Source organism: Homo sapiens, chromosome 2 (genome assembly GCF_000001405.40).
Source record: "Homo sapiens chromosome 2, GRCh38.p14 Primary Assembly".
NCBI lineage: Eukaryota > Metazoa > Chordata > Mammalia > Primates > Hominidae > Homo > Homo sapiens.
This window is the reverse complement of record NC_000002.12, coordinates 8919460-8943837: the sequence shown is the minus strand read 5'-3', so window position 1 is coordinate 8943837 and position 24378 is coordinate 8919460. Positions and strand designations below refer to the sequence as shown.

Below are 24378 nucleotides of genomic sequence, written 5' to 3'. Positions count from 1 at the left end.
CGTTACAGCAAATTAAAATTAATGAATTTGATTTATATAAGGAAGTTTATTTGACTTGAGCCATCATGTATTGAGAAGAGTATACGCTTTTCTTTTGTAAATTCTAATATTTAGCACTTTTTGTTGTTTTGTCAGTCATATTGTTAAAAAGGTAAAGGCAGAGTACAAAGTTGGTACTGGAGAAACTAGTTTGGGGAAACAACCGATGTTCTGTCAGGACGATCCTGAAATTCATATTAATTACTTTTTAAAATAATTGTGCCTTGAGTTATGAAGAAAGCTATAATCCTGAGCCATGTAATCCCACACGGCTTCCATGCAGCCAGGAGACATGGAGTGCTGGGCACTGGGCATGGCTTTAGGCCTTGTTTTTTCCCCCCAGCTCTTCTGGAGCCTGTGGTATGGGACTCTCTCTTTAGGGTGTCCACAGGATTTTAAGCTCCTGAAGTTTCATTCCTTATTTTTTTTTCTGGGAATACTGTGTTATGCATAAGTATTTTTTAGCTTAATTCACTTCAGCTTGATGTTTGTGACTTGGCATCCCTCTTCTAATAGTGCTCTTACTTTTTATAGGTATGCCTTACACTTTCTTGTACAAAGTGGAATTTCCTACTGTATCATGATCATCATAGGAGTGGAGAACATGCACAAGTAAGTATTCACTTTGTTCACATGAAAATATATATTTCACTTGAATAGAACTGCATCAAAATAGAATTTTATTTATTACATTAAAAGTAATTATGAATTGTGATAATTTTTTAAAGAAGAATTGTCATAAATACAAAAATAAAATCATTGGTATGCATCATTCTTCTTTTTACTTAAAGCACCGTTGACATTTTGGGATGGATGATTCATTGACATTCAGTACTAACCTGTGCCTTCTAGGATGTTAGGCAGCATTCCTGGCTTTTACCACCTAGATGCCAGTAGCACCCCTTGAGCTGTGACGACCATAAATGTTTCCAGATATTTTCACATGTCTCTTGGAGAAGCGAAATTGCCTGCTGTGAAGAACCACTGGCTTAGTCTGTAGGTGATAGCAGTGGAGAGATGCAGTGAACTGAGTAGACTGGAGAGAGAGTTAGAAGGACCGGTAGGAAATAAGGTGTCAAGGATGACTTCCGTGTTTCCAGCTTGAGGAGTAGAGTAGATGGAAGCACTGTCTTCTGAGGTGGGGAGTCCTGAAAGTGGGGAGCATGTAGAAGGTGGCATAGGCATTTCAAGTGGGTATATATTCAGCCCCTAAACGTGTTTGGTATATAGTAAACACTCAATGAAGTTTTGCTGTGTAAGTGAATGATGACTTTAAGATATCTGTAAGACATATAAGAGGAGATTGGTAACTAAGACATGTAGTAGGAGCTGGGTAGCTGGGCTAGAGATGGAAATTTGGGAATACAGATGGATAAAATGTACTTGATTGAAAACCCAGGGGCAGAGTCTATTAGCAGATCCTGCTGGGTGTTCTGCAATGTCTGAGCTATGATGTATGACCTAGGTACCATATTTCTGAATTCTGAATCACATATGTCTGCAAGAACTTTGTATAAAGAATCAGACCTGTGGCTTTTATTAGTTTTTTTCTAAGTCTCATTCTATTTTGCATTTTCCGTATTTGGCACTGTCAGTCGCTACCTCTGTTGTAATGTGTACTGTCTCCTCCATTTCCATTGACATTGCCTGCACTGACTTTTCTTTTTCCTCTGTAAACCAACCCTTACAAGTTCCTGATGTTTTTATTTTTATAAGAAGAGAAAGGATATTTAGATGGTGTTTCAGATGAAGCAATTTTTATAGGATTATGACCCTATTTTTTAAAAAACTTGTACCTCTGATGGGTTCAAAGTGATGCTACAATTAATATCTGATGCAAAAGATATTAATCAGGTTTAGATTAGATTAGATTACTGAAAATAGGGGACTTACATACATTTTGGCCAAAGCAAAAGTAATATGCTTTTCAGTTGGAAGGTTAGTAAATTCATGTTTAGCAATGGGAAATTGTTTCTTTTTCTGAAAGGCAGTTGCAGTCGGTGAAGTTAACTTTGTAATACTTTAGACCTGTACTGCTGAGTATGACAGCCACTAGTGCACATGTGACTGTGTAAGTTTAAATTAATTAAAACTTAGAATTCAGTTCCTTGGTTACACTAGCCACATTTCTTTTTTTTTTTTTTCCTTTGAGACGGAGTCTCACTCTGTTGCCTAGGGTGAAGTGCAGCTCACTGCAACCTCTGCCTCCCGGGTTTAAGCGATTCTCCTGCCTCAGCCTCCGGAGTAGCTGGGATTACAGGCTCCCACCACCACGCCTGTACACTAGCCACATTTCAAGTGCTCACTAGCCACATGTGGCTAGTGGCTACATTGGACAGTGCAGATAGAGAACATTTCTGTCATTGCAGAAAATGATATTGGATAGTGCTGCTTTAGAGACATACAGTTGTATAAAATTAGTAATGTTACTCTTTTACAGTAAGTATTCAGGGAGATAGTGCTACTTGCTTATATGCTACTGATATTTAGGATAGAATCTTGGTGTTGTAATTTGACACTATTGATGTAGAAGATTAGGGCAGGTAAGTAAGGTTTGCCATGTGAGTAAATTGCTAGGATTGGCAGTAAATAGCAGGTGGATAATTAATTTGAAAAGTACATATTTTAATCTCTTTTTTAGCTCCCTTCTATTCAGCTTATACCCATATATATTTTTCTATGACTTTACTTTTTCACTTTTTTTCTTATTATCTGAATATGCTCATTTTTTTTTCTGCTTAGGCCTTTATAATAATTAAAAATGTTTAATGGGTCAGACCAAATACACTAGATGGGACTTAGAGCATTTTTATGTGTTGTCCAAAGTTATTGTTTATGTCGAATACAATCTGTTTGTTTCTTTCAGTCTAGTTTTACATGGTATATATTTCTTACATTACGTTTTAATATATTTCTTTGACTAGCCAGAGTTTAAGTCTTTAAAATGAAAGATTTGAATTTATCTGTGTACTGAACAGTTTTTAAATTCTTGCCTCTCTCTGTTTTATGATTTTTTTTGCTTTATGCTCTTTATGAGGTATTCATAATGTAGTTATTGTACTTGCTTTGATTGACCCACGTGTAAATTCAAATATATATATACACACACACACATGTATACACACTTTATTTTTGTAATTCCCTTTAATGCCTCTATGGTATGTTTTATTATTCTGATTCATATCTTACCTTTAAAATGTTATCTAGGCCAGGCACAGTGGCTCACGCCTGTAATCCCAGCTCTTAGGGAGGCCAAGGCAGGTGGATCACTTGAAGCCAGGAGTTTGAGACCAGCCTGGCCAACATGGGGAAACCCCATCTCTACTAAAAATACAAAAAATTAGCCAGGCGTGGTGGTGCATGCCTGTAATCCCAGCTACTCGGGAGCTTGAGGCAGGAGAATTGCTTGAACCGGGGAGGCGGAGGTTGCAGTGAGCCAAGATCGCACCACTGCACTCCAGCCTGTGCAACAGAGCGAGACTCCATCTCAAAAAAAGAGAGAGGAAAAAAAAGAAAATGGAAAAGTTCTGTCATTGCAGCATTGACTTTCTTCCTGTTCTCTGCCTTTTATGCCTTAGTATATCCGTTCCTTCTCTTTATATTCCCAGTACCTTGTTTTCTATCCCCCGTTAAGACGTAGAAGGGAAGAGGGGGCTGATTGTGTGCCCCATTGGCAGTTTTACTGCTTGAGAGGTGGTGGCCCCTCATTGTATAAGTAAGCAAGCAGAGACTGAGTTGTTAGGTAACTGAGGACGTGTAGCTGGAAAACAGTGGGTATGAACTGGTATCTGTTCTGTTCTGAGCATGCTGTTTTAAGTAATCTAATTTCATTTGACTGAAATTTATTTGCACGATCTGTCACAGGTAATTTGCCCTTTATCACTTTTTATGAAACGAAAAACTATTGCTGTTAAAGGAATTACAGATATCAGCAGACAGAGGAGAATCTTTCTTGAGATATGGGATGAGAAAGTTCAAGTGAGTTTCTTTCTAGTGATTTTGACATCATGTGATGTTTTAGAACCGTTTGCAGAGTTTATTCTGTGTGTGTATGTGCTTGAAGATTGCTCCAGGGAAAGGATTGGCCATGTGTCTTTTCTGACCTCAGATGACCTCCCTGCTCCCCAGGGATTGTGTGCTCTGGAAAGCAGCCACGGAAGCCCGTTTCCTAGGACCTGTGTGGTGTGGAGGGTCCGAGAACGTCTTTGGCCTGACTGTGTCTCTGACCCTGCAGCCTGGCATAAGCTTGCCTGCTTCACCATAAGTCCTGAAGCTATGCCTCAGCCCTGATCTCCTTGTCCTAGAACCTCCCTTCATCCCTGTCACAAGACATCTTTCCCCCGTGCTCCCACTGCGGTTGATGCCATCGGACTCTGTCCTGCCGTTTTCTTTGGCTCCAGCAATCCCAGGCCCTCTGACTCTAGGCCAGGATGAGTGAGCAGCAGGATTTACTCAAGTGCCACCTTGTCGGGGCTTCGGACCTCCATCGGGTTCAGCTGTGGAGTGTGTTCCCCAGGCACAGGACATGGATGTGGGGGACAAGTGGCTGTGCCAGAGTGCAAAGGGACAGAGTTGAGATTAAGTTCCTGAGATGCACCAATATCAGTCTCCATTTAGTAGAAAGATTCATTCACTGTTGTGTGGTAGACAGAATTCCAGTAAGGGTGATGAATCATGAAATCAGGCTGTTGGTATTGGTTCATTCATTCGTCTTATTTATCACACCCCTCTCCTGTGTCCTAGGCACTGTCCTCAGCTTCTCCTCCAAGGAGTTCAGTATGGCAGGAGGCATGTGAACACATTTTAATATTGTGTGCTAAGAGCTCTGGTGGGAGAGAGTTTACAAAAATAGCTAACCCAGCTAGGAGCAAGTAGCTCAGGGCAGAGATTCCTGGGGGGCATGGTATGTGAATTAGATACGAGGACTCTTAAGTAGCTGAAGAGGTAGCAAGGGCAGACTTTACTGCAGGGTGGACAGCACAGGCAGAGGCGTGGAGGCATGAAACATGGCAGCATGAAACACGGTGGCATGAAACACGGCATGAAATGTGGCGGCATGAGACAACGGTGGCATGAAACATGGCAGCATGAAACGTGACAGCATGAAACATGGTGGCATGAGACACGGCATGAAATGTGGTGGCATGAGACACAGTGGCATGAGACGGTGGCATGAAACGTGGCAGCATGAAACACGGTGGCATGAAACACGGCATGAAATGTGGCCTGAGACACAGCGGCATGAGATGGCGGCATGAAACGTGGCGGCATGAAACGTGGCAGCATAAAATGTGGCGGCATGAAACGTGGTGGAATGAAACACGGCAGCATGAAACACGGTGTGGAAGCACTGGCACCTTAATAAGTAGCCTGACTATAGGGGGTGGTGAGGTGTGAGTGTGTAATGTGTGTGTATGCTAGAGAGAGAGCGTGTGCCCAACCATATGAGCTTGGTGGGGGTGGGGTGACACTGTTACATCTCAAGGCATGCTTTCCCAGCCATTTCCCTTTGGCCAAAGTATATTGTTTGTGTAACAATCCTCTTGTCCTCTCAAATGAGAAACAAATGCATCATATGTGTTTCATGTACTAAGGGAACAGAGATACAGAGTGCCAAATTTCTCTTTTATCTAGCATTTATTTAGTATATGCAATTTAAAAATAGACACACGTGTGCCTTGCCTATAAAAAAATGTATGATCTGGCTGTGGAGACAATCCCTACATGTGTCTTGATGTGTGCCACAACCAGTACCATTTAAACCAGGCCCCAGGGTAGGTGCAATCTGTGTGCTTGGACTTCCCTCTCATAGAAATTCAGCACCGTGGTGGCAGTCGCATGCTCATAGCACTGTTTGACGTGATCTTGCTTGTTTACGTCTTGGTCTGTCTCTCCCTGGCGAGTGTGAGTGATAGGAGAGCAGGAGCATGTCCTGTCTGTCTCACACGCGGCTTCATCCCCAGGGCCTAGCAGAGTGCCTGGCGCATGGTATGATCTCAGTAAATACTTCTTAAAAGAGTGAGTTTAGGATACAGCCTGGTTTTGTCCACCCTCTACCGACTCCTTTGCCTTGTTCTCCATGACTGCGCTTCCTTCCTTCCTGGAAAATGTCTCTTTTCTGCAGGCGTGGTTCCCTGTGTTCCCTCTGTCTGGAGTGTTCCTCATCCTCCCTCTCCTCCTGACTCTCAGATTTCACCGTATTACATCCCTAGCGAGTCTTGCTGAGATGTCTCAATCTAGGACAAATGATTTGTTACACATCCTCTTGTGGAATTGTGTTCCTTTCCTTCAGAGAATCTATCTCAGTTCTTAATGATAGATGTTTGAGAGTTAACTTGAGGAGTGTGTTTCGTCCTCATTGACTGCAAATTCTGTGATGGCCATTATGCTGTGCCTGTTTTGTTTTCTGAATATAGTCAGTACCTAAGAGATTGTATGCTCTCAGTGAGTGTTCACTGGTGAATAGATGAGTGATGACATGACTTCCGCATCACAGCACACCTTGTCCAAGGAGCCCCCTCGAACTCCTGCTTCCCAGCCATGGCCCCTGCCTCATTTAGAACACTGGGATCCACCTCAGGGCCTGCCCCATGGGGGTCTCATGAAAGCCACTGTAGACTCCCTGTCTCCTTTTCTGTGCCCCTGGAGCAAGTCTCATCCCTGATTCTTGTACCTGCAGCAGCTCTTGCCAGACCGTACTCTCTCTGTTCCCAGGGAAGAAGCAGAGGGGTGGAAATGAGGGAAGGGCCGAACATAGGGAGCCTCTCCACTTAGGCTGTGGAAGAAGGGGAAGAGGAATGTGTTTCAGGCGTACCTAATTGGAATTAGGAAGATATTTTCCCTGGCGAAGGCAGCACAATGTGGCGTGTTCTGCGATATTCAAGAGTGGAAGCCTGTTAACCTTGAGAAGTTAAGCTGAAAATTTTCTTTATAACTTGGCAAGTAATTTTCTTTCTTTCTTTCTTTCTTTTTTTTTCTTTTCTTTTTCTTTTCTTTTTTTTTTTTTTTTTTTGAGACGGAGTCTCCCTCTGTAGCTCAGGCTGAGTGCGGTGGCACAATCTCGGCTCACTGCAACCTCTGTCTCCCGGGTTCTGGTTCAAGCAATTCTCCTGCCTCAGCCTCCCAAGTAGCTGCGATTACAGGCATGCACCACTATGCCCAGCTAATTTTTGTGTTTTTAGTAGAGACGGGGTTTCACCATATTGGCCAGGCTGGTCTTGAACTCCTGATCTTTGATCTGCCTGCCTTGGCCTCCCAGAGTGCTGGGATTATAGGCAAGTAATTTTCAACAAGATAAATGACCTAAAGAAAAATGTAAAAGATGTAAGTAAATGCAATAAATTATTGCATAGATCTAATGGGTTGCCTTGCTGTGTATGGAATTATATTGTAAAAGCTGTAGGAAAGTGATTTTAAACCTCCCATCATAAGGTTCAGCTGCCCACCAATTTGAATAAACATTTATTGTGGGCCTCAGTATTTCCAGGAACTCAAAGATAAAGGAGATGGGCTCCTTACCCTCTGAAATGAACAGTTGAGTTGGGAACATTACAATGTCATTCCTGCAACAAATGTTTGTTATGCTGATGCTGGGATCTAGTGATGAATAAAAAAGACAGACTCTGTCCCGTCATGAAGCTTACAGTCAAACTACCCACCACAGGCAATTACTGTTACAAAAGAAGGGTGTACCAAAGGCTGGGGGGCATCCTGGAGGGAACAGCTGTGGTGGAAAGTAGTAAAACTATGTATCAGCCACTGACCGTATTCAGTAGAATAAAAAAGTTACAAACGATTTACAGATATTTGGTGTTAAGTAGAATGATGCCAACATATACTTATTTTAAAAATTGGGAAATATATTTTCTTCAGAAGTCTACTTTATTGATGATAAAATTGAACAGCAGACAAGGACATGAAAAAAGATTGAATTTAAACTCTGATTCCCACTGGGTGGCCTTAGTGATTGATTTTTATGGGCACTGGTTGGAGTCAGATATATATGGGTTTGAATTCAAGCTCTGCTAAGTTTCCATTACCTTCAGAACCTTGGCTAAGTCACTTTACTTTTCCAGGCTTAAATTGGATTAAATCAGTAACTTAGATGAGGAGCAGGGTACCTGCATGCTTCATATTGTGGGCACATAGGTAAACTTTTCTTGGAATAATGGGTTCAGCTACCAAGAAGAGGTGTTCAAACTTCTAGATCAAATCTTTCAAAGGTCATTTTTACTTCTGAAGTATTTTGCTGTTTTTTTCCCTCTCTCCTGATTATGTGATGTTAAAGCTTGTTTTTAAGTATTCATACTGTCATATTTATCACCATGTCCTGCAGTTCATTTTCTTCTCCCCAGAGTGTGAACTCCTTGGCAGGGATATTTTACTCTTTTTAAAATCCTGCTGTTGAGCATGCAGATGATAGGAGCTCAGTAAGTGAAGTTATCTGTTGTATTCTGTTCTATCAAATGAGTATTTGTGAGTTCTTGCCTTTGACTCTTTTTAACATTTTTTTGGCTGGATTTTGGTTCCTGGTGTAAGAGATTTCCAAACAGATGCTTCTCACTCATGCTTTTGACCTTGAATGCCACTCTTGATGGGTTGACTTGCCGTAGTCTCCTGGTGTTCTCTGCTTCTCTTCCCTCTTGCTTTTCTTCCTCTTAGGCTCTCCACAGGTCAGCGGACATGGTAACTGGCAAAGTGGGGTGGAGTCGGGGCTGGAAGAGGCAGCTCGGGCTGCCATGGCCTCTATCTCAATCCACCATGACCCTGAAGAGCAGACTGTCCTGGGGTCCATGTTACCTGTCATCTGCCGGTACTCACAGCACTCCTACAGTGGCTTCCTAGATAGAAATGTCATCAGGAACTGCCTCAACTCTACTGGGAATGAATGATGATCTTGGAAGTGCCATCTAGCAGGCAGAAGGCTCAAGTCATTTGAAAATGTGTCCTCATGGAGTTAATTAGCAGTGGTTAGTGGCTTGGCAGGAACTCTTTGGGGAAAATACTAACTTCACTGAGGACAATCCCATGATCCCACAAGAGAGAATAAAATGTGGCAGCAAGGAAAATGGACTTTAGATTGTTTTCTTGTATGTTCTCTGTGGACCATATTTACCAGCCTTTCAGGGGTTTGGAATAAAGGTACAGGCCCTCTTGGTATTGCTGTGCTAACCCAAGATAAAAGTTGAATGTCATTTGGGAAACTGTGAGTAATTCTAAAATTGATTTTTTGATATTATCTTATCCTCCTAAGAGTTAATGTTTCAGTAATTACCATGTGTCAGTCACTGTGATAAGCACATGCTATTGCATCCTAGCAACAGCACTTACAGGTTTGTGTGTGATGCCTCTTTCACCAAGAAACAGAAGTTAGTAAATGGTGATCTAGGATTTGAATTAGTTGTGTCCCATTCCACCCAGGGCTTTTTGTTATTATTTCTAAGCAGTAACCATTATGATTATGACATTGTGTCATTAAAAAAAATACTCTAAATAGACTGAGGAGAGTTTGTGGAGCCAACAGGGTCTCTGAACAAAAGCAGGGGTTGTAGGTGTTGGTGATTGTTCATCAGAGCAAATATGCATATATCTCTATCCAAAAGAATGTGGTTGCCTTTTGGCATATTGTGCTTAGGATGTAAGGTTTTTAAAATATTCTCAGTTCCCTTAGGGAGTTACTTGGTAATAGGTAATAGGATGTCCAGGTCCTGTTGGATTTCTGAAAGATTTTCAGAACATAGCATTGTGCCATCAAATCCTGCACTCAGGAAAGGGTGTGATTGAGATTCCTTTGTATACTGGTAAGTTAATATAATGTCTCTTTTGGAGGTGTTACATTTGAATTAACTTTATTTCAAATTGTAAACTGAATCCCTGTTGAGGTTTCAGTCATTCTTGAGCAAGTAAGGGAAGCACTTTTTTTTTCTTGGATCGAGGGCTTTTATATGAAGTGGGGGGATTCTGTTAATTAGAGGGTTGATAAGACTAATACACGTTTTTGCTAAATAAAGGCATTACTTTGGACATTCTGAACCTATTAGAGTAAAAAGAAGTTCACGTAGATTGCTCATAGAATGGGGCTCTGCCAGTTCAGGACTGTCTAAAAGGTCAGTTTGATAGTTAATGCCCCAAATTAATCAATTAAAAAATCAAAAGATGTCATTCGTGGTGGCTCATGCCTGTAACCCCAAGTGCTTTGGGAGGCTGGGGTGGGAGGACTGCTTGAGGGCAGGAGTTCAAAACTAGCCTGTGCAACATAGTGAAACCCTGCCTCTATAAAAATTGTATAACTTAGCCAGATTTGGTGATATACCTGTAGTCACAGCTACTTGAGGAGGGCAGGAGGATTGCTGAACCCAAGAGTTCAAGCCAGCAGTGAACTGTGATTGTGCCACTGTACTCCAGCCTGGGCAACAGAGCAAGACCCTGTTTCTGCCCTCTCTTCCACCCAAAAAATTTTCAGGATAACATCCAATTTGATGATATATCTGATCTTGAAAATAATTATATATTACTGAAACATAACTAGGTAGTTGTAGTAACTTAAAATAAGAATATTACTCTTTATGATAAAGTACAAGGATGCATCTTTTGCCTTTGGGTACTTCTAGAAACTAATCTTACTTTTACACCAAGATCCTAATCCTTGCCAGAACACTGAAAGAAAAATTAAGAGCCCATGCAACCATCCATTAGAATGATAAAAAAAATTATTCAGCTGTTACAATACCATGCCATTTATATAAAAATTGTGGTTCATGTTGAAGTTTTGTGAGAAAAGAAGCATGAGTGAAAGGGGTATTTTTTCAACTTTTGGTTAGTAAATGAGGAAATTGTCTTAGACAGTTGGGACTTGCTAAATTATGAACTCTACCTGTGATGTGGTGTGTTGTTATGAGTGTATAGACTTGACATGTGCACGTTCTGTAGTCACTGTGTTAGAAAGAGTATGGTTTAATAGAAAGAGCCTTTGGCCTTTGACTTTGGAATTTGAATGATGGAGTGATTTCTATGTGCCACTTTGCTGAGTGTTTTTTTTTTTTTCTCCTAAATACTGTATCCCATTTAACTGTTGAAACAATCCCGTGTAGGAAGTGTTACTGTCTACTTGTACAGATGGGGACACTGAGGTTCCAGAAGATTAAATCAAGGTCACAAAACCAGTAACTGGCAGCTCTAGAAGTCTGTGAAATTCATTAGTCTTGTTGAGGTTTGTTAGATTGCTTTATTTAGTGAGATTCTTGTAAAGAATTTTTTATTTAAGTTGGAGAAACAAAGATATTTTTACTTGCTTACCTGCTAGCATAAAAATCTTGGTTTACTTTTTCAAAGAGTAGCAGGCACCATTGAGACATTGTATTGCATTGTATTGTGACTGGCTTCTTCTCTGTCTTCTTCATCAGGATGTAGTATTGGGAGTCTTTAAAAATATTTTAACCCTTAAATAAATATCTGAGTATAATAGTGATTTTATTTTCTAGAATCTCTCCCTTTATTTAAAATTGTTCAACCTTCTGTAAGTGCTTTGCTTGCAGTTGGTATTTATTAAAATACTAATAAACATAGACTTTAAAATAGTATTTTAATATCAACTGACTAAAAATATAACTTTAGAATCTTTTAGATAAATTAACTGTGTAGAGAAAAAATGACTTCCTCCTACTTGTTGCTAGCTTATTAAATAGTCCTTATTTAGAGTAGTTATGGAAAAGACAGGTAAGGGTAACAGAGGCAATAGCTAAGAACCTGAAAAACTGCCAGGCATTTTAGTGAAAGGATATTAGAACAATTGAGCGTGGCATTTATTCCTCATGGCGAAAATTGAACATTTATGGTACAGGTACAAAAACAGACACATAGACCAGTGGATCAGAATAGAGATCTCAGAAATAATACCACACATCTACAACCATCTGATCTTCAACAGACTGACAAAAGCAAGCAACGGGGAAAGGATTCCCTATTTAATAAATGGTGCTTGAAAAACAGGCTAGCCATGTGCAAAAAATTGAATCTGGATCCCTTCCTTACACCTTATACAAAAATTAACTGAAGATGGATTAAAGACTTAAATGTAAAACCCAAAACTATAGAAACCCTAGAAGAAAATCTAGGCAGTACCATTAAGGACATAGGCATGGGCAAAGATTTCATGACAAAAACATCAAAAGCAATTGCAACAAAAGCAAAAATTGACAAATGGGATATAATTAAACTAAAGAACTTCTGCACAGCAAAAGAAACTCATCAGAGTGAACAGTCCACCTACAGAATGGGAGTAAATTTTTGCAATCTAACCATCTGACAAAGGTGTAATATCCGGAATCTACAAGGAACTTAAACAAATTTACAAGAAAAAAACAAAGCCATCAAAAAGTGGGCAAAGGACATGAACCTCCTGAGGTTCTTGAGACCTCCCCAGAAGCCAAGCAGATGTCAGCACCATGCTTCCTGTACTGACACTTCTCAAAAGAAGACATTTATGTGACCAACAAACATATTAAAAAAAGCTCAACATCACTGATCATTAGAGAAATGCAAATCAAAACCAAAATGAGATACCATCTCACACCAGTCAGAATGGCGATTATTAAAAAGTCAGAAACAACATGCTGGTGAGGCTGTGGAGAAATAATAATGCTTTTACACTGTTAATGGGAATGTAAATTAGTCAACCATTGTGGAAGACAGTGTGGCGATTCCTCAAAGATCTAGAACCAGAAATACCATTTGACCCAGCAATCCTGTAATGCCAGAGGTTCTTGCCTTAGCCACGCCAAAGATTTGGTGTGGCGGCAGCCCACGGTGAAAGAGAGACATGGAGCAGACCGAGAGAAAAAAAAGCTGCAGGCTTTATTGAGCAGAGTGACAGTACAAAGCTTCCACAGCATGGAAGGGGTCCCGAGCAGGTAGCCAGTGTTAGATTTTGTTTTTTTTTATACTTTAAGTTTTAGGGTACATGTGCACAACGTGCAGGTTTGTTACATATGTATACCTGTGCCATGCTGGTGTGCTGCACCCATTAACTCGTCATTTAGCATTAGGTATCTCTCCTAATGCCATCCCTCCCCCCTCCCCCCACCCCACAACAGTCCCCGGTGTGTGATGTTCCCCTTCCTGTGTCCAAACCGTTGTGGAAGTCAGTGTGGCGATTCCTCAGGGATCTAGAATTAGAAATTCCATTTGACCCAGCCGTCCCATTACTGGGTATATACCCAAAGGATTATAAATCATGCTGCTATAAAGACACATGCACACGTATGTTTATTGTGGCACTATTCACAATAGCAAAGACTTGGAACCAACCCAAATGTCCAACAATGATAGACTGGATTAAGAAAATGTGGCACATATACACCATGGAATACTATGCAGCCATAAAAAAGATGAGTTCATGTCCTTTGTAGGAACATGGATGAAGCTGGAAACCATCATTCTCAGCAAACTATCGCAAGGACAAAAAACCAAACACCGCATGTTCTCACTCATAGGTGGGAATTGAACAATGAGAACAGTGTTAGATTTTTTGATCACCGTTTAAACTCTTTAAGGTGGGAAGTACGTGCAGCAGGAAGATGTTACCAGAGTGAGAAACAAAGACAATTAACATGTCTCAGATCTTGAGGAAAACTGGAATTGTAACTTAAGTTTTATCTACTTTATAACCTTGCAGCGGCATGGCAAAGGAGACAGGATCTCACAAGATTTTACAAATTGTGTTTACAAGGAATTGGAACTGGGACATAGATAAGGTCTGCTGGTCACAGAAAAATGGGCTTTTAACATTCCTTTTAGTTTCAGGGGAGGGGAAGGGAGAGAGGACACAGGGAAGCTTACAACAAAATTTTCGCTGTTTATAGCTTTCTTGGGGAAGAAAACACATGCACAAATTCAGATGTTAGGAATATTTTAAGCATATGTGTTCAATATTATTCATCCAGGACCAAGTCCTGATGCAGGAAATGAGTGAGTTTCACAGCGTTCTGAGCCCCTACTTGACCCAGGAAGCCCAGCTGGAACCTCCTCTCAAATAACCATTTGACCCAGCAGTCCCATTACTAGATATATACCCAAAGGAATGTAAATCATTCTGTTATAATGATACATGCATGCATATGTTTGATGCCTCCTATAAAATGTTAGGGCCAGCCAGGTGCGGTGGCTCACGCCTGTAATCCTAACACTTTGAGAGGCCAGCGCAGGCAGATCGCTTGAGCTCAAGAGTTGAAGACCAGCCTGGGCCACATGGCAAAACCCGGCCTTTACAAAAAATACAAAAGATTAGCTGGGCATAGTGGTGTATGCCTGCAGTCCCAGCTACTTGGGGGGCTGAGGCCGGAGAATTGCTTGAGCCTAGGAGGTCGAGGCTGCAGTAAGCTGAGATCGTGCCACTGCACTTCAGCCTGGATGACAAAGTGAGACCCTTTCTCAAATGAATGAATGAATGAATGAATGAATGAATGAATGAACAAATAAATAAAATGTAAGAGCCATGGGTAAATCAGTGGTATTTCTTACCCCCAATGCATGTAACAGAACATACTTTAATTAGTAATAGTACTTTCTATAGCAGTAATTTTTACCTCTTTGAAGTAAAGGGTTATACCAGATTTTGGGGGACTGGAACAGTGATTCTGATATGTTATTATACTCTTTTATCCCCACCTGGCATACAAAAAAGGTACCAGCCAATTTAGAGATCTATTTTTGTGTCTGCTGACATAAGTAGAAAATTTCCCACCTCCCCACTACCTTTTCCATTTACCGCTCTTTCAGTTTGCGGGCTTATCTGGCTGTTCTGTTCTTGGTGTCTCTCTAAATTGCTGTCATTTACCATCCTCTGGATCAGTCATTTGCAAAATCTGATCCAGAGATCTCTGAGAGTCCCTGAGATCTTTTTAGGAGGGAGGTGGTATAGTCAAAACTATTTTCATAGTAATAACACTTAGACATTATTTGCCTTTTTCACTTTCATTCTCTCAAGAGCATACGGGGTCTTTCCAGAGTCTATATGATATGTGATTTGCAGTAGAAACATTTGAGGATCTGTTGGTCTACTATTAAGTCAGACATTCAGTAGAGTTGTAAAAATATAGGACAGTACCACTCTTCTCACTAATTTTTTTTTTGTTTTGGAAATATATTTTTCATAAAAATTTTATTATAATTATTCTTGAATTAACAGATTTTTTAAAATTCTCAGTTTTAATTCGTAATATGGTATATATCAATGGCTATTATTTATGTAAGTTATGTTTCTTTGGTTTCCTCAATAATTTTTAAGGGTAAAAAGGGTCCCGAGACCAAAAAATTTAAGAACAGCTGCTCTAGAATTCATTCATGCCTCTTGGGTAGCTGGCTCTGTAGTCTTCCCCAGTCATCTGGATGGCAGACGTCCTACCAGCCTCTGTGCCAGGGGTCACCTTAGCCCCTCGTTAGCGTCACATGTTTCTGCACCCTCACTTTTAACTCTCTTGTCTAGTGCTGCTCTATCTGAAATCTGCAGCTCCTGGAACTGGCTGAGACCTCTCTTCTGGAGTCAGGCTTGCTTACTGATATGGTTTGGATCTGTGTCCCCTCCCAAATCTCATGTTGAAATGTAACCCCCAGTGTTGGAGGTGGGGCCTGGTGGGAGATGATTGGATCGGGGGCAGGTTCTCATGAATGGTTTAGCGCCGTCCCTTTGATACTGTTCTCACAGTCGTGAGTGAATTCTTGTGAGATCTGGTCATTTAAAGGTGTGTGGCACCTCCCACCGCTTTCTTACTCCTGCTCTGGCCATGTGATGTGGCTGCTCCCCCTTCACCTTCTGCCATGATTATAAGCTTCCCGAGACCTCCCCAGAAGCCAAGCGTATGTCAGTACCATGCTCCCTGTACAGGCTGCAGAACTGTGAGCCAATTAACCCTCTTTTCTTTGTAAATTACTCAGAGATATTTCTTTGTAGCAGCATGAGAAAAGCCTGATCACACAGTCTCACTCCCACAGGACCACCCACATTTGGATGTCTGCCTGACACTGATAGGTGACAGACTCGAGAGTTGAGGGCCTAGGAAGTGTGCTAGAGGTGATGCTCCTCCTCCTTCCCCTTCCCCAGTTCTCCTGGCTGTGCCTTCCTGCCCTGCCCTTCCTGGAACACCAGCTCTACCCCTCCTGCCTGTGCCCTTATCTCCCTTGCCTCATCGGCACTCCATGCACCACTGGGTACTTTCCCAGCCTCGGTTGGACACAGCTCTCTATTGTACTTGGGCTGCCCGGTGTTTGAGAGAAACGCAACTCGACGGAGCTACTGCAGTTATGATTTCTTACCTCACTTAAGTCTTCAGTTTTCTTGAAAATTGTTTTAATTGATGGGTTTCGGCTTCCATTCTATTCTTTTCAAAGATTAATCTAAATCTTAGTTGCCTTATTAAATTCATTCACTTTATCTCTGTCCCCACACTTAGCAGACAATATGAATGTATAATGAAAAGTTTTAAAATGAAGATAATTCTTGGGAGATAATCCTTAATGATATAGGGTAAAGTGTTTAAGAAGTAACAGAAAGGAAGAAAAAGAAGGCAGAGAAATGGCCATTGGAAGAAGGAGATGGGGGTTGATGGTCTGCAGGTGTCCCTGGGCAGAGAATGTTCCTGCCCCGTGTCTCGCCCTGCTCATTTCTGCTCCCACCCCAGCATACCTAACACCACACTCATCTTGGCCTCAGATCTCTTCCTTGCTTATGCTTTCTCTCTCTAAGGTGCCCAGGTAACTGGAATAAATCATCCCTTCTTCCTTCTCACCTCCACATCTAGCCATCACTAAGACCTGTCTGTGCTTTGGTTTCCTATTGAGTTGTTTTGAGGACTTGAGATTTGTAAAGCATTTAGAGCAGCCCGGGGCATGTAGTAAGCACTAAGTGGGTGGTGGTGACCCTTAGCTCTTGTTACCCCCCAACCCATGTCAAATCCACTGTTGGTCTTCAGCTCTACCCATTTCTGCTGTTTACCATCTGGTACCTGCATCTCACATTACTCTGCCAGCCAGTCCCTCTGGCCTCTGGTCTGTGCTGTGCTTTGCTGCCCAGATGATTTTTACAGTATCTGTCTGACCATGCCTCTTTTCTGCTTCAGACTCTGTTAGCTTGGCAGCTTCGCAGCACCCGTTGTGACTGCCCCTGCCTTCCTTTCCACTCTCAGTTCACAGCACTCGCTCCTCGACTGAGCCAGGCCCGGCCATAATGAACCGTTTGTAGTAGTGCACACATGCTCTACTGTTTAACACTTGGTTCCTTTGTATTTGCAGGGAGCCCCCTGCCCCCAACATGAATTCTGGCTGGTCTTTCAGAGCCTTGTTGACCTGTGACCTCTGTGGCGAGGCCTTTTCCCCCTTTTCTTAATAAATCAGCCTTGTACTCTATGTTGAGTTTTCTACCTAGAGTCGTACTTTACTTTGTACATCTTGTATACTTCACATATTGCACTGTATTACTTATACTTGTATTCAGGTGGTTTAACACTTCAAGTGGTCAGTGTGTGGTGCTGTGTGCCTGTAGTCCCAGCTATGTAGAAGGCTGAGGTAGGGGAATCGCTTGAGCCCAGGAGGTCAAGGCTTCAGTGAGCCATGATCACACCACTGTACTCCAGCCTGGGTGACAAGACAGATTGAGACTCTGTCTCAAATCAGACAAAACAAAACAAACAAACAAACAAAGAACAAAAGAAACCTGTTGCTAAGACCCAGACTTCAGAGCCACACTGCCTTCTCACCCTTGCTCTCCTGCCCAGTAGCTTTGTCACATTATCCAAGTTACTTACCCTCTCTACACTCCTCTTTTGTAAATTGGAGTAATAACACTTACTTCGTAAGATTGTAGTGAAGATTAAATGAAATACTGTATTTCATTAAATATGAGATGTCATTGATGGTAAGATGTACCGTTATTTTATGTACCACTAAAAAGGTTTACATGCCATCAGTTATGAAGAGGATTCTTGATTTCAGAGATGTTAAAATGTGAAAACACACATGCATCATATTCAGTGGAGTGGCCACGTGTGAATGAGCCAGTACACATTTGCCTTTGCCTCCTGTACTGGACTTCAAACTCAGGATGGGGACTGTGAGTCTTGTTCAATATTGTGTCCTCAGAACCCTGCCAGACAATTTTAGATGATTAACATGTATATTCTAACAGAACTGATAACAGACTCTGCTCACATGCTAACCGTTTTCTCCTGTCTGCAGTCAAAGAGCAGACTAGAGAGTGTACCTTTTCTTCTAGGGCCTCATTTCTAAGAGGCTATGACAGCTCATCTTTTGCTCAACCATGGTGGTGTCTTCATCCTTTTCCCACTTACTGGTTCAGTTGTCTTATGAACCAAAATATGGGATGTAAAGAACTGTAACCCACATAGTCTTGTTGCCCTTGCTTTTAAGTGCTTTTCAGAATTATTTGAATTACTTTTTTTCTTTTCCTACTTTCCACCTAAAGGTTTTTTCTCCCAAAGTCGAATAGAAGAATGATGAGTGATCTTGTGTGCAGGCAGGTGGGGAGATCTGGACAGTAGCACCCTTTATTAAAATATGGCCCCTGAGGAACAGTCAGTGATAGGTTCTAATCTTGGTGTAAAAACCAAGATCTTGGCATTGGGGTGTGAGAGGGGTGATATGAAGTCTTTTCCAAACATTTTTTTTCAAAGTCCTGGTTTTATTAGTGACTAGAATAGGCTGAAATCTGGATGTGTTTTTGTGGATGATCATCTTTCTCAGTTGCTCCACGATTCTGCCATTACATTGGTAGTTTTTCATGTTATTAAAAAGCTTTGAATGTTTTTTTATATGTACTTATTGAGATACTAGGAGAGCTTGAATTGGGGACTGTTAATCAGGTGATATGCTGAAGGTCTTAAATCTTCATGTAAACTACAATATTATTCGTTGTATTTTGAAAGATAAAATAATCTTGCTTAATACCAATAGCCAAAAACCAATTTATTTGTGTATTTTAGCTAACTTTGAAATTTTCTTAGTGAAGAACAATTAAGTGACTTCATTATCTTACTGAGTCAGTTGTGGGAACAAAAGTTAGATTTTGTTAAAAAAAAAAAAAAAGCAGCTGAACCATAGCTGGGTGGGGGTTTGGTTCATTTTTGTCATCTGTAAACAAAAGTGAGAACAGGAAAGAATCAAGTGACTTCATGTATCAGTGTCATTATTTGTGTCTGGCATAGTGAATACATCGAAGCTCCTTTCCTCTTTGTTTATGAATAGGGCTTTGCAAAAGAACAAACAAAATCCCTCACGATTTTTATTTTATCTGTAACTCATTCAGATCCCTTTGTTCCAACTAAGAGAACACCTGGTCAGGAGAGACAGGGCAGATCACCAAGCAAGCCCACACTTCGTAGAACAGCAGAGTTTTTATTGAGGATCATAAGATTCTGTGCAGGTCTTTAGGAAGGAAGGAAGTGGGTGTTCTGGTTACCAGACACCAGAATCTGGTGTCTCTGTATTCAAGGAAAAGCCTAGTGAGGCTATTAATCAGTGAAATGGGATCCTAGAGGAATGGTGAATTTGCCCTACAGAGGACCCCAAGTGTTCTAAAGTGAGTGGGAAGAAAAGGAGGGACCTCTGAATCTTGTGTGAAGATGGCATGGCTGTCTTGTGCTGATAAAGCAGGTGGTTTAAAAAAATTCTTCTATTCAAGTAGCAAATATAGAGACGATTTCTCATTTAAAGAACTCAAGTTTACTCTTCTTAGTGAGGGTTGGCTGTCTGTTCTTACTACCAGTACTTTACTAAGCATAGATGTTTCTGGTTTTCTGGATCTGTGTTGGAACCCTAGTTTACCTCCCACAGAAATAATGTTTCCTTGCTGATCTACAAAAAAACCCATTTTAATTGATGCACCTGCCAGCTATTGAATAGTGAAGGGGTCAGTGAATGTTCTTCCCCCTGAAACGGCTGTACAACTGGATGAACTTGTCAGAAACACTTTTGGGCTCTGGAAATTGACCAAAAGCAAGCAACAATTTGAGAAATGTTAATTCATAAAAAACTGCTGACTTTTAGATCAAAAACAGTGGGAATTGATGGTATTCTTGCCTGGAGTTACCCTGTTCCCCATCCCTTGGCAAAGTAATGCTACCAGGGTGTCAGCCTGATGGGTTCTTCTTGACTACTGCCCAGAAAAACCAATGCACTGAGAACAGCAGGTATTGTAGCAAAGAAAGAGTTTAATAATTGCAGGGCCAGCCAAGCAGAGGGACAGAGGAGGTATTTCACAAATCTGCCTCTCTGAGAATTCAAATTAAGGGTGCTCCGGTTGGCAGGGGCCTGGAGAACTGTAATGATTGACTGGGGATGAACTCATAGGGGTGTCTAAAACTGTTTTTGCATAGCTGAGTCAGTTCCTGGGAGGAGGTCTCAGGTGGTGTCTCCTGATCTGCCAAAGTGCTACTCTGAAAAATATCTCAAAGACCAGTTCTTTAGGTTTCACAATAGTAATGTTTTCTGTAGGAGTAGTTGAGAAAGTTATAAATCTTGCAACCCCTGGTTACATGACTCTGAAACAGTAAGCAATTTAGAGAAAAGCAAGCTAAGCAATGGCAGGTCATGGTTTAGGTGTGCCTATTCTTTAGCAAAGATGTAGTCCCTACCATAAGTCTAACCTTGTGACCTTTTGTTAGTCTTTACCAATATGGTTTCAACTTTTGAACAAGGGCAGGATCAGTTCAAGAAAGGACTATTATAACCCCTGCACAAGAATGAGCAAAAGCAGTTTAGCCTGATAGAAGCAAGCTTGAGTCAGTTATGTCAGATCTCCCTTACCACTATAATTTTTGCAAAGGCAGTTTCAAGGGCAAGGCTGGCCATGAAAACCAGCTGACTTGATTTGGAGTGAAAGGCAGAGAACCCCATGCAGTAGCTAACAGAGAATGCCTCCAGCTCTCCTAGCCTGAGGATGTGGTCCATCATATAACAGGGAGATCTTGGAAGTGAGAGAGCCATCAAGGGACTTGATAAGATCTCCACACACCCCTGGCTGATGGAGGCTGCATCTCAGCACAGAGGAGGCCTGAGAGGACCTGGGGGAAAGTAAGAGCTGGGGTTGACTGGAAAAAGGATGGAACTTTGAACAGCTCTCTTACTGGCTTCGGGTGTTTGAGCATAAGCTCCGACTAATCATTGACTGACCACTCAGATATGCAGACACGGGGACAACCTCTGGAGTGAGGCTAAAAAGCAACACTGAGGCTTTAAAAAACTGAGTAGAGACATCAGCTGCTGCATCAGCTCTCACCATGAGTGAGAAAGATTCAGTGGATTAACTTCAGGCTAAGAAACAAAAACAGCACAGCAGTGCTCAAGAAAAAGATGATTAAAATCCAGAGTTACTGTCATGTATTATCTAACATGTCCAGTTTAAAAAATTAAGAGAAACGAGGAAAACAGCAGTCAATTGAAACTGCCTCTAAACGGACCCACATGTTGGGTTTACCAGACAAAACAACTATTATAAATACATTTAAAGAATTAAGATAAGGAGGATCATGATTTAACAAATAGGGAATGTAAATAAAGAAATGGAAACTTTGAAAAAGAAACAAATGAAGGTCCTAGAGCTGAAAAGTAACTGAAATGAAAAATTCATGATAAGTGCTACACAGTGATTTGCAATGGCCAAAGCATCAGTGAACTTAAGGGTATATCAAAGGTATTAGCCAATCTGAAGAAAAAAGGTATAAAAAATATTGAAGAAAAATAAACAGAGCTTCAGAGACCTAAGGGATAATATCCCATGCATCAACAACGTTTAACGCGAGTTCCAAAAGAGAGGGGAGAGAGAAAGGGACAGAAAAAGCTTTTGAGGAAGTGATGGCCATTGATATCCCAAATTTGATGTAAAACATTAATCTGTGGATCCAAGAAGCTCAACAGACCTCAAGTAGGATAAACACAAACAGATCTTCACTAAGTCCTACTGCTGAAAGACAAAGACGAGGAGAACATCTTGAAAGCAGTGAGAGAAAAACAACTCATTATGGAGAGAGCAATGATAAAATTCTTATCAGAACAGTGGAGGCCAGAAGGAAATAGAGTGACATATTCAAAATGCTGAAGGAAAAATTTGCAACTACAAGTTCTAGATCCAGCAAAATTATCCTTCAAGAATGAAGGTTTAGTAAAGACATTCCCAGATAAACAAAGACTTGCTTTATAAGAAATTCCAAAGGAAGTCCTTAAGGTCGAAAGGAAGTCCATAGGAAGGAATGAGAAGCTCCAGAAATGGTAAATAGGTGGGTAAATATGGAAGTCTATATACATGTCTCTTTTCTTAATTTTTAAAGGACCTAAGAGTGTTTAAAGCAATAATTATAATACTGTATTATTTGGTATTGTAAAATATGTAGATGCCATATATATGATAGTAATAGCTCAAAGGATGACAGAGAAAATGAAGCTGAATTGGAGCAAGCTGGCCAAATTTTATCAGAATTAAGTCAGTATTAATCTGAAATAGATTGTGATGAAATGAGACACATAGTAATTCCTAGAGCAATCACTAAATAAATAAAAAGTATACATTGAAAGAATCAACAGAGGAATTAAAATAGTTCACTACCAAATATTTGTTTAATACAAAAGAAGGCACTAAAGGAGGAACAAAAAAGGCCTGAGACATAGCTAAAACAAATAGCAAAATGGCAGGTTAAATCTGACCGTATAAATACTTACAGTAAATGCCAGTGAAAAGTCAGAAGTTGTCAGACTGGATTAAAAAAAATCTAACTATATGTTGTCTACCAGTAAAACACATTAAAGACATGAGTAGGCTGAAGGTAAAAGAGTGGAAAAGATGTAAGCCATGCAAACAGAAACCAGATGAGTGTTGGAATAGCCACAGAAAAAGACTGAGGACTAATAAATGAGGCTGGCAAGGTTGCAGTTTATAAGACCAGTGTACAAAATCAGTTATATTTCTATATACTACAAATTGAGAATCCAGAAATGCAGGTATAAAAACAATTCCATTCACAGCAGCATCAAAAAGAATAAAATACTTAGAAATAAATCTAATAAAAGAATTGCAGTTGCACTTGAAAACTGTAAAACATTCCTGAGAGAAGATTAAATGGAGAAGTATTTTATATTTATGAGTTGGAAGACTTTACATTGTTAAGATGGCATTTCTTCACAAATTCATCTATAGATTTAATGCAATTCCTAACAGAAACACTGGCAGTTTTTTTTTTTGGTAGAAATTGATAAGCTTTTCCTAAAAGTTATATGGAAATACTAAGGACCTTAAGTAACCAAGATAATTTTGAAAAAGTATAACAGAGTTTGAAGATTTACACTCCTGTGTTTCAAAACTCATGCTACTGTGATCAAGACACTGTGCTATTGGCATAAGGATAGACATATAAATCATTGCAACAAAATTGAGAGTTCAGAAATAAACCTTTATGGTCAGTTGATTTTTGACAAAAGTGCCAAGGCAGTTGGGAAAGGATAGTTTTTTCAATACACAGTGCTGGGACAATCAGGTTTCTATATGCACAGAAATGAACCTGACCCTTACCTCACATCATACATAAAAATCAACTCAAAATGCCTCTTAGTCCTCAATGTAGCAGCTAAACCTATAAAACTTCAGAAGACAACACAGGAGAAATTCTCTGTGACTTGTGATTGGGCAAAGACTTCTTAGATATGACAACCAAATAATTGCCCATAAAGAAAAAAATTGTCTGAGTGTGATAGCACACGCCTGTAACCCCAGCACTTTGGGAGGCCGAGGGAAGAGGATTGCTTGAGGCCAGGAGTTTGAGACCAGCCTGGGCAACATAGTGAGACACCATCTTTTAAAAAAAGTTGTTTATAAGTAGAAAAGTACCCCAGTGTGGTGGCGCACACCTGTAGTCCTAGCTGCTTGGGAGGCTAAGGCAGGGAGATCACTTGAACCCAGGAGTCCAAGGTACATTGAGTTATGATTGTACCACTGTGCTCCAGCCTGGGAAACAGCGAGAACCTGTCTCAAAACAAAAAATTAAAAATGAATCATAATAAAATAAAAAAATTGAATACTCGTATTTCAGAATTTAAAACTTTTACTATTCAAAAGACACCTTTAAGGAAATGAAGAGATAAGCCACAGGAGAAAAATACTTGCAAAACATGTGTCTGATACAGGACTTGGATCCAGAAGATGTACAGAACTCGTACAATCAATACTAAGAAGACAACCCAATTTAAAGATGGACAGAATTGCTAGTTACACATTTCATGGCCAATATGCAAATTAAAAGATGCTCAAGATCACTAGCCATTAGCGAATTGCAAATTAAAACTACA

The 24378-nt window shown here is 40.6% G+C and overlaps 1 protein-coding gene across 13 annotated transcripts in view; it reads left to right on the top strand.

Moving 5' to 3' along the window:
* Nucleotides 1-24378, top strand: part of MBOAT2 (membrane bound glycerophospholipid O-acyltransferase 2) — a 150995-nt gene that overhangs the window by 59847 nt on the left and 66770 nt on the right. For 10 of the 13 annotated variants that reach the window (NR_135600.2, NR_135602.2, NR_135606.2 and 7 more), the window contains one exon: nt 574-651. The exons of the other annotated variants lie outside the window; for them this stretch is intronic. Coding sequence is in view for 3 of the 10 variants with exons in the window: in NM_138799.4 (NP_620154.2) it covers nt 574-651 (78 nt within the window). In the remaining 7 variants the exon portion in view is untranslated. The remainder of the gene's footprint in view (nt 1-573; nt 652-24378) is intronic. 13 annotated transcript variants of the gene reach the window in all.